The 15054-nt window shown below is 48.7% G+C and overlaps 1 protein-coding gene across 14 annotated transcripts in view, besides 3 other annotated features; it reads left to right on the top strand.

The window, feature by feature from the left end:
- The window catches only part of SRGAP3 (SLIT-ROBO Rho GTPase activating protein 3), a 382437-nt gene that overhangs the window by 179490 nt on the left and 187893 nt on the right, over positions 1-15054 (top strand). For 2 of the 14 annotated variants that reach the window (XM_017007579.2, XM_047449338.1), the window contains exon 1: positions 1660-2797. The exons of 10 other annotated variants lie outside the window; for them this stretch is intronic. In XM_017007579.2, the coding sequence (XP_016863068.1) occupies positions 2677-2797 (121 nt within the window). In that variant the 5' untranslated portion in view covers positions 1660-2676. Of the gene's footprint in view, positions 1-1655; positions 2798-15054 lie in introns of those variants that run through there. 2 more of the 14 variants (XM_017007575.2, XM_017007574.2) reach the window with 2 other exon arrangements.
- Positions 2971-3070: a silencer, noted in NCBI's record as "silent region_14031". NCBI's record gives its function as "represses an Ori minimal core promoter by ATAC-STARR-seq in GM12878 lymphoblastoid cells {active_cell/tissue: GM12878}" and the evidence as "EXISTENCE:reporter gene assay evidence [ECO:0000049][PMID:35858748]".
- Positions 3141-3190: a silencer, noted in NCBI's record as "silent region_14030". NCBI's record gives its function as "represses an Ori minimal core promoter by ATAC-STARR-seq in GM12878 lymphoblastoid cells {active_cell/tissue: GM12878}" and the evidence as "EXISTENCE:reporter gene assay evidence [ECO:0000049][PMID:35858748]".
- Positions 3448-3948: an enhancer, noted in NCBI's record as "H3K27ac hESC enhancer chr3:9221274-9221774 (GRCh37/hg19 assembly coordinates)". NCBI's record gives its function as "activates a minimal SCP1, AML or CMV promoter by ChIP-STARR-seq in primed H9 embryonic stem cells {active_cell/tissue: H9 hESC(primed)}" and the evidence as "EXISTENCE:reporter gene assay evidence [ECO:0000049][PMID:30033119]".

The raw sequence follows: 15054 nt of genomic DNA, 5'->3' as shown, positions 1-15054 counted from the left end.
CTTGTGTGTGTGTGTACAATGTTTTATACGTACATAATTAAACATCTGTATAATAGATATGCAATTATAATGACTAGGTTTTCTTGAATGCTTACTATATGCCAGGCTCTCTAGTAAGTAAGTGCCAGGTATTCCATGTTTTCATGACCTCATTTAATTCTTGCATCTCTGTGAAGTTAGATATTGTATACATTTATAATCTGCTTTCAAGGGAGAGGGATGTGAGACTCAGTAAGGTGCAAAGAGGTAGAAGCAGAGTTTGACCCAGGCGCCGTGGCTGCACTGTGCACACTCTTCCCTGCCAGCACTGTGCCTGCTATTTAAAACAATGTGGCATCAGTTCAGCTGTTTTTGCAACTTGGCCATTTTCCTGGTCCCTTCCTGGGCCTCCTCCTCTCTCAGATTCCCAGTTGATGGCTCTTTCCTCTGTTCAATGGGTCTGAGAATGCCAAAGCATCGGGGACTGATAGTCACTGGGTGAGTTTGGGTGACAGAAGAATGTTTCCCCAGAGATCCTGTGAACCTGTGAATGTTATTTCACACAACAAAAAGGACTTTGCAGATATAATTAAAATCTTTGGGCTGGTCACGGTGGCTCTCGCCTGTACTCCCAGCACTTTGGGAGGCTGAGGTGGGAGGATCACTTGAGGCCAGGAGTTCAAGACCAGCCTGGGCAACACAGTGAGACCTCCATCTCTATAAAATTTTTTAAAAAAATTAACCAGGCATGGTGGCACATGGCTGTAGTCCCAGCTACTTGGGAGGCTGAGGCAGGAGCATCACTTGAGCCCAAGAGTTCACGGCTGCAGTGAGCTGTGATTGTGCCACTGTACTCCAGCCTGGGTGATAGAGCAAGACCCTGTCTCTATAAAACAAACAAATAAATAAAAATTAAAAAAATTTTAAAATAAATATTTGTATTAGTGTCCCAGGAGTGCTGTAACACAGCATCAAAAACTGGGTGGCTTAACACCCACAGAAATGTATTGTCTCATGGTTTTGGAGGGTGGATGTCTGAAATCACTCTATCAGGAAGGCCTCGCTCTCCCTGTTGGCTCTGGGGGAAAATCCTTCCTGGTCTTTTCTGGCTTCTGGTGTGCCTTGGCTTGTAGATGCCTCGCTTTGGTTCCATGGCTGTGTCCCCACTGTGTATCTTCCCGTCACCTTCCCTCTGTGCCTCTGTCCAAATTTCCCCTTTTTACAAGGATATCAGTCATATTGGATCAGGACATGCCCTGATGACCTCATTTTAACTCTATGACCTCTATAAGAGCCTTTTCATTTTTTATTTTATTTAATTAATTTATGCCCCCAAATTAGTAGATGCTTTTTTGTGTTTTTTTTTTTTTTTTTTTTTTTTTTGAGACAGAGTCTTGCTCTGTCATCCAGGCTGGAGTACAATGGCACAATCTTGGGTCACTGCAACCTCTGCCTCCTGGGTTCAAGTGATTCTTGTGCCTCAGCCTCCCGAGTAGATGGGACTAGAGGCATGTGCCACCACATGCAGCTAATTTTTTCTATTTTTAGTAGAGATGGGATTTCACCATGTTGGTCAGGCTGGTCTTGAACTCCTGGCCTCAAGTAATCCACCCACCTTGGCCTCCCAAAGTGTTGGGATTACAGGCGTGAGCCACCGTCCCCAGCCCATGTAAGACCCTTTTTAAAATTAAGGTCACATTTCGAGTTATTGGGATGAGGACTCCAGTCCACCTCTTTGGAGAGTTAGAGTTCAACCTGTAACAATTTTAAAAGATGGAGATTATCCTGGATTATCTAGCGGTCCCTATCTAATCACGTGGGCCTTTAAAAAATGATAACTTTCTCTGGCTGGAGCCAGAAGAGCGGGGGCACCAGAAGGGAAAATCAGAAGGTTATGATGCGTTGTACCCTCCCTGGCTCTGAGATGTTTGGGCCCAGGCACAGAGACCGGAGAGGCCTGAGGAGCAGAGGGCATCCCTTGCGGGCAGCTAGCCAGGAAACCTCAGTCCTACAACTGCAAGGAATTTGATTCTGCCACAGCCACCATTCATGAAGAAGCAGATTTTTCCGAGAATCTTCCAATAAGAGCTCAGCCTGATAAGACTCTAAGCAAAAAACCCCCTGAGTCAACCTGGACTTCTGAGCTACAGAACGGTGAGATAATAAACTTGTGTTGTGTTAAGTAGCTAAGTTTGTGGAAATTTGTTTCACCAGCAAGAGAAAACGATTACCATTACCTTCCCATTTGGCTGGCCCTTCAATGCCTTAAACCAAAGAAATGGCCTATGCTGGAAATTTCTTTGGGTCTCAAGTTTACCTTCTTGAGTCTTTGAATAATGCCACCCACCTGTGCAGCACGTGACACTTCCCGGTACATTTCACACATAATTTCATTCAATTCTCTCAGCAGCCCTGAGAAGTATAGGTATATTATGCTTCTTATTTTACAAAGGAGGAAACTGAAATTTAAAGAAGTGATTTTGCTTGAGGCTTCACAGAACTGGGGTTGCAAGCCAGGTTTCCTGCTTCCAAATCACATGCACTTTTTTGCCACTGCCCCCGGCTGCCTCCGTGTCTCCAGACATCTGTTGTCTGAACACAGTTTCTCCTATCCAGTGGGCTGGACTTTCTGGTGAGACTGTGAGCTTCCTGTTGCTGAGAAATGACTGAGTGAAGCCGGCGGATGGTGTACTTGGGATGCTGAGGAGAGACTCGCTGGCATTTGCAGGAGGTGCTGGCGGGTGCCTCCTGATGCCATGTTCAACTCAGGATCTACAGTGGGAACTGGGATCTGCTCTCGGGGCTGCATTCAGACAGGGTAAAGCTCTCTGGGAATTGCCCTGGCCAGGAGACAGATTCGCGGAGCAGATGAGGTCTGAGTGAGGGTTTGAAGAACACGTAGGACTTAGAGAGGATGCTTGTGTTTGGGTTTCTCGTGTGATTGCAGGGTATGGCTTTTGCCCACGCCTTCCACTCCAGTTGCTTTGGTGAAACTTGCCTGTAGGAACTGGACCAGACTTGAAGTCAGCCTCTGGGCCTGTCCTCCCCGCCCTGCTCCCCGAGTTCATCTTGGTGGTTGAGGGTACACGATGTGGTCGCCTGCTTCTGCAGCCAAAAGAAAAGTGGTGGGACAAGAGAGGGTAAGGGGAATACACAGGCTGAGAATAACTTCCTCCTAGCCTCACTTCCTGTGGCTTCCCGCTCACCCTGCTGTAACTCTTATTAACTCTCCGTGTCTTTCTGTGGGTGGGAACCAAACAGCCTGTCTTGAGGGCAGCTGTCTGCCTACTAAAAGTTCCCTAGCAATGGCCACTTGTCCTTCCTGAGCCTTGGGTGTTCCCTCCTCAATCTTGTTCCCTGCACTGCCGAGGTGACTGACAATGTGTCCTCCCCAGGCCACACCTCTCTTGGCAGCTGTGAAAGGTGGTAGAAGCCATTCTGTCCCTCCCTTTCTCTTGAATGTCTTGGAGTGCTGTTCAATTCAGGAGTTCCTTCTAACACATCATGTGTTCCTGCACTGTGCCGAGTGCAATGGGGATGCCCCAGAAGTGTTGGCCTCGCAGGCTGCAGCCTGGAAGGCAGTGTGGCTCTGTAGAGAAAGAGAACTTGAGTATTGACCGGGCATCTGGCCCTGTGCTGGACCTCAGGGACACAACACTGAACAGGACAGCCCAAAGTGGGTGTGCAAGCCTTGATTCTCCCACTTGGTAGCTATGTGGCCTTGGGCTAGTCGCTTGACCTCTACGTCTTCACAGTCAGGTCTTATGAAGGCCAACATGGCACCTTGGAAGTGTGTTGCAAACTGTAACACTCTGTGGAGATGACGTTGTTAGTTATTATGCCCTCGGTTGATTCTCTCAGTTTCCTTGTGACAGAGGCCTGGAAGAGCTGTTATACCCATTGTACAGATGAGAAAGCAAAGCCTTCAGGAGAGTGAAGAGCAGGAGCAGGAATGAGAACTAAATAGTTGACTTCTTGTTGTGACCTTACTCTTATTTTATCATGTGGCTATAGCCACCAGGCATCCATTGGTGATGGCATCTGATGACATTTTCAACATCAGCAGCATCAATAACTAACATTTGCCAGGTGCTTACTAAGTGCCAAGAACTAAGTTAAACCTTTTGATGCCTATTATTACCTCTACTTTCCAGATGAAAAAAATGGAGACTCAGCAAGGATAAGTAACTTGCCCAAGGTTGCTTTTCTAGGAAGAGGCAGAGCCAGGCTTCAAACTTAGGTATGCCTGATTCCAGAGCCTAGACTGGTAGCCTTGATGGTACCTGCGCATCTCATCCAGTTGTGCATCTCGACCTAACATATTGAAACAACTAGAAATTACACAAGGCAGTAGGAAGGGGATACGCTGGCAGGAGTCAGTCCTCCTCCCAACCCCCAGAGGAGTGATCCAGGCAGCTGGGACTGTGTGCATCAAGAAGAGATGGTGTCCTGAAGCCTTGGTGTATGGTGTCCTGAAGTTACTGGGTGGATGGATCTTGTTCGATGGGCAGGATCGGAAACTCAGAAGGACAGAGGCTGGTATGAACAGGGGACATGGGGGAGAATGGGGTCAGGTAAGATGGGCAGGGCCTCAGAGGGCTGTCAGTACAGCAAAGGAGGTGAAGTTGGTTTGGGCAACCGTTGCAGCTGTGGCCTGAGGGTTAGCTGAGCTGCCCACGTCCTGGCCACAGAAGGAAATTAGTACCCAGAGACATCTCCGGGTCTAGGGCGGAACAAAGATCCTGCCCTATTTGTTTTTCTTTCTGGGGCCTTGAGGTTAGAAGAGGGGCACAGCTTCTCCCTAGGGACTGGGAGGAGGAGGTAGGAGAAGGGAGGGATCCAGGCCATGGGAGGCATTGGGAGCATCCGTCATGCCGTCAGCCTGCTGCAGGAGCACTGGCCTGGGAGTCTACAGGCCCAGGTGCTGTGCTGCTGTCTGGCTTTGTGAAGTTGGATGATTGATTCCTCTCTGGATCTCAGTTTTTTAAACTGTGACTGGAGAGATCTATCAGTGAAAACTGTTGGTTGCAAGTGTCAAAAACACAATTCAGACTGGCTGGAATCAGGCATTTATTGGCTCATGTGATTGGAAAATCCAGGGAGAGTTGTGATTATAGGAAGGCCTAGGTCCAGAGGTTCACACGGTACCATCAGGGGTCTGTCTCTTTCCATTTCTCAGTGCCAGTTTCCTCAGTGATGCCTTCTGTCACAGGTAGCCTCAGTCTTTGAAATCTCAAGGTGACTGCCAGCTGCCCCAGGCTTATCTTATTTATTTTTATTTTTATTTTTTTTGAGACAGGGTCTGGCTCGTTACCCAGGCTGGAGTGCAGTGGCATGATCTCAGCTCACTGCAACCTGTGCCTCCCAGGCTCAAGTGATCCTCCCACCGCATCCTCCCTAGTAGCTGAGACTACAGGCATGCGCCACCATGCCCTGCTTATTTTTGCATTTTTAGTAGAGACAGGGTTTCACCATGTTTCCTAGGCTGATCTCGAACTCCTGGGCTCAAGCAATCTGCCCATCTTGGCCTCCCAAAGTGCTAGGATTACAGGTGTGAGCCACCACGCCCAGCCCCAGGCTTACCTTCTTCAGGCATATCAACCTGCAGAAGGAAAGCAGCTCCTAGTAGTTCCTGCAGAGGTCCTGGGGCAGGTGCTTGCTGGTCCTGCTTGGTTGTGTGTCCATCTCTGGGTCTATCCCTATGGCCAGGAGATGCCCTTCTTCTCTTGGCCAGACCAGGGTCACATGGTCTTCCCTAGAGTAGGAGTTAAAGTTAATTCCACAGAACCCACAAGGAGTAAGAATGGGAGGTGGTGATTTCCCCTAAAGAAACACTCAAGTGTTGATGCCAGAAAAGAGAGAGTAAATATTGTACAGACAAAAACCACAGATGCTGTCCTTGGCACCCAGTGGCTGGTCTGACTGTCTTCAAATGAAGCCAGGGACTTGGGCCCCTGACAGTGGAGCTCCTCTCAACTGTATTAAGATCATGGAGACCTTTGAGTATACATGAAAGCCACGGACCTCCTTCCTAGAAAGGCACATGGGTCAGACTCCGTGGCATGGTCTCTGAGGGGCTGCACCATCTCTCCTGCCTCCTCCAGGTCCCCCAGCCAGTTCCACCGGCCTCCTCGCTGCTCCTTGTACTCACCATTCCTCCTTCCAAAGGGCCTTGAACTTGCTGCTCCCTCTGACCTAGTTAATGCCTCCTTTACATATGGTCAAATTGCACCGTAAACCTCTTCATCGCAATTTCAACTGAAGTTGTAAATTTCTTATAGGATTATTTGGTCAGTATCTGTCTCTCTCACCAGAATGGAGACTCCGTAACAGGAGGGACCTGGCTTTGCTTCCTTTTGTGTCCACATCACCCAGTAGAGTGTCTGGCACATAGCTGGTGCCCAGTAGTTGGTGAGTGAATGTGTGCCCTTGAACACACGATTTTTCCTGAAGTTTTAGTTGCATACACTTCCCTAGAGCCAGTCTCTGAACTTCAGGTTAAGAACCTCAGGATAGAAAAAATAGGAAAATCAAGGCATTAGCAGCAAGGTCATGCAAATGAGGACCTCCCAGGCCAGCTCTCCTGATAACCTTGCTGCTATTGACTTAGGTTTCTGTCTTTTAAGTGGAGTTGATACAGTCTGGATATTTGTCCCTGCCCAAATCTCATGTTGAAATGTGATCCCCACTGTTGGGGTAGGGCCTGGTGGGAGGAGTTTGGGTCAGGGTAGAGGAGGAATCCCTCTTGAATGGCTTAGCCCATCTCCTTGGTGATGAGTGAGTGAGTTCTTGAGAGATACAGCTGTTTAAAAGTGTGTGGTTCCTCCCCGCCCCCCACTTGCTTCTGCTTTTACAGTGTGATGCACCTGCTCCTACTTTGACTTCCACCATGATTGGAAGCCTCCTGAGGCCTCCCCAGAAGCAGGTGCCACCATGCTTCCTGTACAGCCTGCAGAACCATGAGCCAATTAAACCTCTTTTCTTATATATTACCCAACCTCAGACATTTCTTTATAGCAGTGCAATAATGGACTAACACAGGAGTCCCATGGATGATTACTTGTGGGTAAAATCTGTGGTCAAATAAATCTGAGGAACACTGTCTAATCTGTGCTCCTTTTGGAGAGTCACAACATATACTAATAACAGTAATATTTATTTCTTATGATCATTAGTGTAACTGCCATTTATGAAGGGCTTCCTACATGGTAGGTACCCTATGAGGCCCTTCATATGCATTTTCATGCCATCTCATCATAGCCTTGTGTGACAGATGCCATCATCACCCTGTGTTACAGAAGAGAAATGAACATGTGGAGGGATTAAGAATCCCAAGCTAGGCTGGTTGTGGTTGCTCACGCCTGTAATCCCAGCACTTTAGGAGGCCGAGGCGGGTGGATTATGAGGTCTGGAGTTTGAGACCAGCCTGGCCAACATAACGAAACCCTATCTCTACTAAAAATACAAAAATTAGCCGGGCATGGTGGCACGTGCCTGTAGTCCCAGCTACTCTGGAGGCTGAGGTGGGAGAATCGCTTGAACCCAGGAGGCGGAGTTTGCAGTGAGCCGAGACTGCGCCATCGCACTCCAGCCTGGGTGACAGAGTGAGGCTCCATATCAAAAGAAAAAAAGAATCCCAAGCTACCTTCTAGGAAACAGAAGATTTGGTGCTCAACCCCTGCCAGTCTGATATGTGTCTATGCACTTTAATCCCTCAAGAGGTGGGAAATCACCTTTGCTGATAACGGAGCCCTTTTTCTCTCTAAACATGTAGAAGCATCCCAAGGACCACACCTGGTTTGGGACATGCTGGTAAAGTGTTGATTTCCGTTGATGGTCTAGAACAGAAAGAATGTAGACCTGGCACAGGCTCAACTCCACAAATATTTCCTGTACCAGGCGTGGTGCTAGGAGTGCCAGGAATGCGGCACAAAGCTGCATCCTCATTGCCTGGGGGTACCCAGAGTCCCAGCTTTTCCCCATAGCAGACCAGCCTTTCCCTGAGCTGCCCCACCTTGAGGGCTCCCCGTGCTGGGTCCTTCTGGGACCATCCAGCTGTGTCTTCCCTCAGGGGAATAGGGCTCTGTGTCATGTTCATGATGAGTTCACAGCAAAATGCACATTCATTCTGTAAATGTTTATCCAGGACTTTCTGTGGCCCTGGCTTGTGCTAGGAATTGGGGATACAGAGGCAAACAAAATGCTCTCTTTTCGTAGGACACCCGTCGTCTAGTAGGGGAGACAGAGCAGTGCAGAAGAAACCATAAGAAACCAAAGTATAAGACAGGTGAAGTGCCCTGTTAGAGATAGAAACCAGCCTGCTGTGGGAGTTCTGAGATATGGATGAGTTCTTTCTTTCTTTTTTTAATTAACGGAATTATTTTGGCTTGGGATTTAAGCTCATGCTTAAATGATGTTGGAACATCTGGCTGACAAACAAACCATTGTCAGCCTCCTAGGTGTTTGGCTGACAGGGCCTGTGTTCCTAAGCATCCCGGGGAGTTTCGGATGTAGGGGGACTGTGGGAATGAGGCCCAGCAGTGCCTGCATGCACTGAGTGCTATCACCCCCACTCCTGCACACAGTCCTCCCAGTCCACGGAATGACGCCTCCCTGGTGTCTTCCTTTGCTGAGCTGCTCCCATTTCTCACATGGGCCTCAGTCACTCCCATGAGCCTCAGGAACAAGCCTACACTTGCTTTCTGCTGCCCTCAGTTTCCTCCTCTGTCAGCTGCGAGTACTGATTCCTCCTCGGGAGGATCAAATGAGATGAAAAACATGGGGAGAACTTTGCAAATGGGAGTCCCCCTGGAGGAGAAGTAGCAGATTCCAGCCCCCTCACTCCCGTCTGGGTGCGACTTCCCTCTGGTGAGAACGGGCAAGGTCAGGCGAGGCTGGAATTCTTTCATGGGTCCTGAAACCTTAGGTGAACTCCCGCCTGTGCGTCTTTGCTGGTACATTCAGTGAGATGATCAATATGACGCCTTCAGTGCAGCACCTGCCATGAAGTCGGTGCTTACTAAGTAGTGGTGGTGGTGGTTTTTCTCCCTTCATTCTGCCCGCAGTCTCCTGCTCTCCTTCCCTACTCCCTCCACCTTGCTTTCTCCCTCCGTTTCCTTTCTTCCTTCCTCCCATCTTCACTTCCTCATTTACTCATTTGTTAAACACTTCCACCCTTTAAAAATTATTTTAATTGTGATAAAAAACACATAGCAGAAAATGTACCATCTTAACCATTTTACAACGTACAGTTCAGTGGCATTAGATATATCACATTGCTGTGCAGCCATCACCACCATCTGTCTCCAGAACTCTTTTCAACCTGAAAAACTGAAACTGTACAAACTAAACAATAACTCCTCATTCCCTCCTTCCTCTAGTCCCTGTCTGTGAATCTGACTCCTCTAGGTACCTCATATAAGTGGATTCTTACACGATTTGTCCTTTTGTGACTGGCTTATTTCACTTAGCATACTGTCCCCAAGGTCCATCCATTCTCTTCCTTTTGAAGGCTGAGTTGTGCCCCACTGTGTGCCTAGACCGCATCTGGTTGACCCATCCATCCGTCGATGGACACATTATGAATGGTGCTCCTGTGAACACTGTGTACCAATAAGTGCTTTTTGAGCATGATCACGTGCCTGGCATTGTGCTGGGCTGCAGTGGGAAATGAACTTGGTTCCCATGCTCTGGGGGTAATGTTAAGAAGCAAACACCAATAGATGTTTACTAAGAGACTGCAATATGTCCCGTGATGGGAAAGAGCAGTGTTCGGGGAGAGAATTATGGCAGGGGTGGAGGTGGGTGGCTGGGACAATGGTCAGGTCTCAGGAAGTGGCCTGAAGAATGGGGAGGAGAGGTGGGCAGGGGTGGGGAGGGTCCAGGCAGAAGTAACAACATGTGTGAAGCCACTGGATTGCGACAGAGTTGCCCGTTGGAGGGATTGATGCTTAGATTTCTGCTTCAGTGTCTTCTCCAGCAAGCATCCTATCAGCCTCCAGGCCCACCTCTCCCCATCATCTTCTCCTCTCTGCTCTTATTCTAGTTCATTCAAACTGCCTCTTTGCTCAGCTATTTCTCCCACTGTCCAGTGAGCGGCTTGAGTGCAGGAACTGTTTTATTTTATGTTTGCGCCTTCTTTTCATATCTTAGTAGGTGTCAGTGACTCTCAAACAGATACTCTCCTGAAGGAGGGTAGTGCTTTCACTGGCAATGACCCAAGACCATCATCTGGGGCCTGCCAGAGTCAGGCACAGCCCCGGCATTAGAACTTTGGGCTGTAAGCCTGTCCTCTGTGCTTATGTGGGTGGTGCACAAAGCACTTGCAAACATCTGTGTGCAGTGCTGCTCCATTCGGCCTGCTGAAGCTTTCCTGCCCTGTTGCCGCTGAAGCAGGGAGTGTGGGAAGCGCCCAGCTCAGAGCTGGGCCAGATGTGGCCATACCTCCCAGCAGTGCAAGCAGCATCACTGCGCCAGGCCAGCTGACTCGGCTGGCCCTGGTGCACAGTGCTTAGGGGCTTGTGGCCACGAGCCATGCCCCACCACCTCTCCTGTTTGCCTTGGTAGCTTCCCAGCTTCCTCTCACATGACTGTTTCTGTTTACTTCTCCCTCTGGCCTTCCTGCCTGCGGCGTCCCTGTGCCACCTAGAGTCTCATCTACCGCACTAGACATAGCCTCTGCAATGGCCCCGCACCAGGGCCTCCTTCCAGGGCATATCCCGTCTCTGTCTCACCCTTCTAGTCTGCGCTTGCCCTTCTCACTCCCCAGCTCTCTCTGTTACTGTCAGTGGAGGGTCTGTGCACTTTGTCGTTTTGATCCTATGACGTTGTATCTGTGGCTCTTCCTTCAAGTGCCCAGGAGAGGCCCAGCTCCTGGGGCCAGAAAGGGGTTAGTCTTGAAGTCTTGGGTTGGACATTTCACCATGGCCAGCCCAGAGCTCGGCTGGAAACAGATGAGAGACAACATGTGAGGAGGCAGACAGGAGCTGGGGATCCAGGCTCTGAGCACCTGAGAGGTTTGGGGGAAGGTATTGGTAATGGATTGGATTGTGTCCCCCAACAAAAGATTTTCAAGTCCTAACCCCTGTACAGGTGAATGTGACCTTATTTGGAAATAGCGTCTTTACAGAGGTAATCAAGTTAAAATGAGGTCATTTGGGCAGGTGCAGTGGTTCATGCCTGTAATCCCAGCACTTTAGGAGGCTGAGGTGGGTAGATCACTTGAGTCCAGGAGTTCAAGACCAGCCTGGGAAACATGGTAAGACCCTGTCTCTACAAAAAATACAAAAAAATTAGCCATTAGCTGGGCATGGTGGCATGTGCCTGTAGTCCCAGTTACTCAGGAGGCCGAAGTGGGAGGACTGCTTGAGCCCAGGAGGTGGAGGTTGCAGTGAGTGGAGACTGCACCACTGCATTCCAGCCTAGGCAACAGAGCGAGACCCTGTCTCAAAAAAAAAAAAAAAAAAGAAAAGAAAAAGTCATTTGGAAAGGCCCTAATCCATTCTAACTAATAAAAAGGGAGAATTGGGACATAGAGACAGACATACACAAGGAGAAGGCCATGGGAGCATGAATCCAGAGATACGGCAGGAGACGAGAAATGCCACATTGCAGGCAGCCCCCAGAAGCCAGGACAGAGGCATAGAACAGATTCACCCTCACAGCCTTGGAAGGAACCAACCCCACCGACAAGCACCGTGTCCTCTTCCGGCCCCCAGAACCGAGGCAATACATTTCGGCTGCTTAAGTCACTCAGTCCGAGATGCTATTGGGCCAGCTCCCAGAAATGAATATAGTATTTGGATCCCATCAGAGCCTCTCACCTCTGAGTATGGGTTGGTGTACTTTAGCTATCTGGTTCCTTCACATCATATTTAGTTTGGGCACACAGGGGCTATTTTGAAGCATCCAGGCAAAGATTTTAATAATAATAAAAAAACTTTTAATAAGACTTTAATAAGAATTTTAATAAGGTTCTGATGAGAAACTCTTGGATGTCCTTCCAAGTCATGTAGAACCATGCGAGGGATAATAAGACTCATAATCCCACTTATTTTTATAGGGCTTCAGTTCACAAAAAAAGTCCTTCTCATTTATTATCCCACTTGACCCTCAGGGCAATCCTGTGCTGTTAGCACTGTGGGCATTCCCATTTTGGAGAGGAGAGAACTGAGGCGCACAGATGTTCCAGAATTGTCTTAAGTGGCAGAGTGGGGATTTAAATGCAGGGCTCTGACCCAGCCTCACCCTCTTCCCATGCGCTGGAGGCTGCCTCTGAACTTGGAGCAGATTGGATGTTTCGAGGGCAGCTTGGCCTCTGCCTGGGGCCCAAGGAGTAACACGTTGTCTTAATTCTTTTCCAGTAGTGAGGGAGAGGGGACCTCAGGTTTCCAGGACTTTTTCAGGTTCTCATGGGGCTCTGTGGAGGCTGCTGGGGCCTCAGGGGTTCTTGGGTTTCTCTTCCACAATATTCTGTTGTGGGGCCCAGGCCCTGAAGGGTCAGGCCATCTATAGCAGGGCACAGCTGGCGGAAGCTGACTGCCCAAGGCCAGGATCAGCACTCCTCAGATGCGTGCGCTGTCCTGCTGCTGAGGGACAGAACAGGCCTGAATCCCATGGCCTTGCTCTGCCAGCAGGCTGGAGCGTGAGGACACTGTGTGACCCAGGCCTCTTCATGGCTCCCCCAGCGCTGAGACAGTGCTCATTACACACCAGCAAGTGAAGGGCTTGGGGGAGAGGAGCAGTGCTGAGCTGTGGCGTCCGAGGCCTGAGGGCAGGTATCTGTGGTGTGTGACCTGGGCATGTGCCCTCACCTCCTTGGGCCTCAGACCCACGCTTGTGAAGTAGCTCCATAAGAGCATCTGCCTCGCTGGGCGAAGGTGCAGAGGAAAGGGTATGCTGGGAGTATTTTGCAATGGTTGATTTCAGCATCATTCACAATCAGAACCACCGGGAATGTCCATGAGTCTTCAGGGACTGTGTGCTAAAACCTTCTCCCCATTTGGAGCCATGAAGACCATTTGAGTGCGACTTCCTAAAAAGCAGCCCACCTCTGCTCAGGTCGCCTCTCTTCTGTTGTGTGAGAGTGTGAGTCACATTCTTTTGCTGCTGGAGAGTTTCTTTCCCCTGGAACCCTCTTGCCCCCACCCCGCTGCTCCCCGCACTACTACTCCGAGGCTGTCATGTGAGTGTTTTCCACGTAAAAAAACACAGAAAGTTCATTCAAGCCAAATACTAAGACAATGTTACCAAGTCTCAAGTGTATGGAGTTCATTGCACTGACGTGATGCAGGGCTTCGGCAGGCTCAAAAACTTCCCAAGTGTCAAAGAGTTTTGGTTTGTAGATTTGAGAGGTGTGAGACTGGGGGCGGTTTCTTCTACGGACATTCACCCACACATCCCACACACCAGCACTGTCTAAACGGCAGTGATCAAATCTTCTATCATTTCATCTGTGCTTCCTGTGGGGCGGTGTCAGGTGCTTTACATAGATTAAATCTTCATTTTGTCCTCTTAACAAATGTCAACACAGGCTTGTCTGACTTTAAAGTCCAGGCTGTAAGCAGTTAGGTGTACTGTCTCCCAGTTGGAAGAAACTCCAACCCAGCCCCCTTCATTTTACAGGAGAGGAAACTGAGGCTCAGGAAAGGGGACCATGACTTGCCTAGAAAGTGGGGCAGGAACCCAGGAACCCTGACTTCCAAGGCTTTTCCCCCCTAACCCATCCTCCCCTTCAGAAAGCACTGATCCCCTTCCTTCTGTACCAGAGGGAACTCCAATTTAGTGATTCTCTAGCAAGCAATAACATTCCAGGTCCTGGAGTAACCTGAGAAATGTGGTATTGGTTAATTCAAAGCCATTGTCAACTTCACAAGGTGTTGGCCTAATTGATGCCAAGTATGGCTACTTTGAGTTTCCCAAGTGTTGAGACTCATAAGTTTGGCACTGGAGGGAATTATTTACTCACTTATTGTGCATTTCAGCTTAGCAGAAATTCATAATTAGTAGTTAATAGTGTGGGAACTTCTCACTGTTCCTGGAACATGCAATGACATGTAACTCCTCTACCTTTGTACATACTGTTCTCAAAGCCTTGAATAGTCTTCCTCCCACGCCCACCTTTTCTTTGCTGCTTGAATTCCTACTCACCCATCAAGAGCAGTTTTCTCACTCATGTCCTGCTACCCCACCTCCAACCCTGGACATAAACAGATATAATGTTTTTACAATCTGCCTCTCCCACCAGACTGTCAACTCCACAAGGGCAGGGGCTATGTCTCATATATAATGATTATAATCATACTTACAAAGTGCTTCTTTGCAGTCAGGTTCTGTGCTAAGCACTTCCTGTGCATTATTTTATTTCATGCTCCCCAATATTGTAAGATAGATACTATTACTATCCTCATTTCCTAGATGAACAGATAGATCCACAGAGAGGCTCAGAAACTTGCCCAGGGTTACACAATAGCTGAACGAGCCGGGATTGAAATCAGTGCTACCATGTACAGTTGTGCTGGCCATGCACTGCACAAGGGTCCACAAGGGTGGAAGGATCAGTTGAGTCTGAAATCTTGCTCTCACCTGGGTGCAGAGCTGTGACTGTTGGGAGGAAGGGACACCTTTCTCTAACTCCTGGAGAGGCACCACAGGGTCTGGCTCCAGGGTTCATGCTCCTAACCACTGTAACATATCAGAATATAAATATGCATATTCATGTTGCCACTCTGTGCCAGTCTGGCTGAGTAGGGGCCCAAAAAATGAATGAATGAGAGATTATGAATCAATAGGTTTTTCCTTTTTCTCCCTTCTCTCTTTCCTCATATCTGCAGGACCAGTTTGTTACTTAACAGCTTACTTGGTTTAAGAAACACATCTTTTAGTTGGCTTGCCTCCAAGCACGTACGAAAAGATGGCTGAAAACCCAGAAAGAGGTCTCCATTTGGAATGTCTTTTATTCTAAGTAATTTCATTCTGCCACCTTTGGGCTTTTGAAAGTTGTTAAGCGGATGTTAAAAAGCGCAGGTGAATGGAAACAAAGGATTCATTCTGAAACCAGCTGCAGGAACTGCACAT

This window comes from Homo sapiens, chromosome 3 (genome assembly GCF_000001405.40).
Source record: "Homo sapiens chromosome 3, GRCh38.p14 Primary Assembly".
In the NCBI taxonomy this organism is placed as follows: domain Eukaryota; kingdom Metazoa; phylum Chordata; class Mammalia; order Primates; family Hominidae; genus Homo; species Homo sapiens.
Note: the sequence above shows the minus strand (reverse complement) of the source record. Positions and strands in the feature narration are given on the sequence as shown.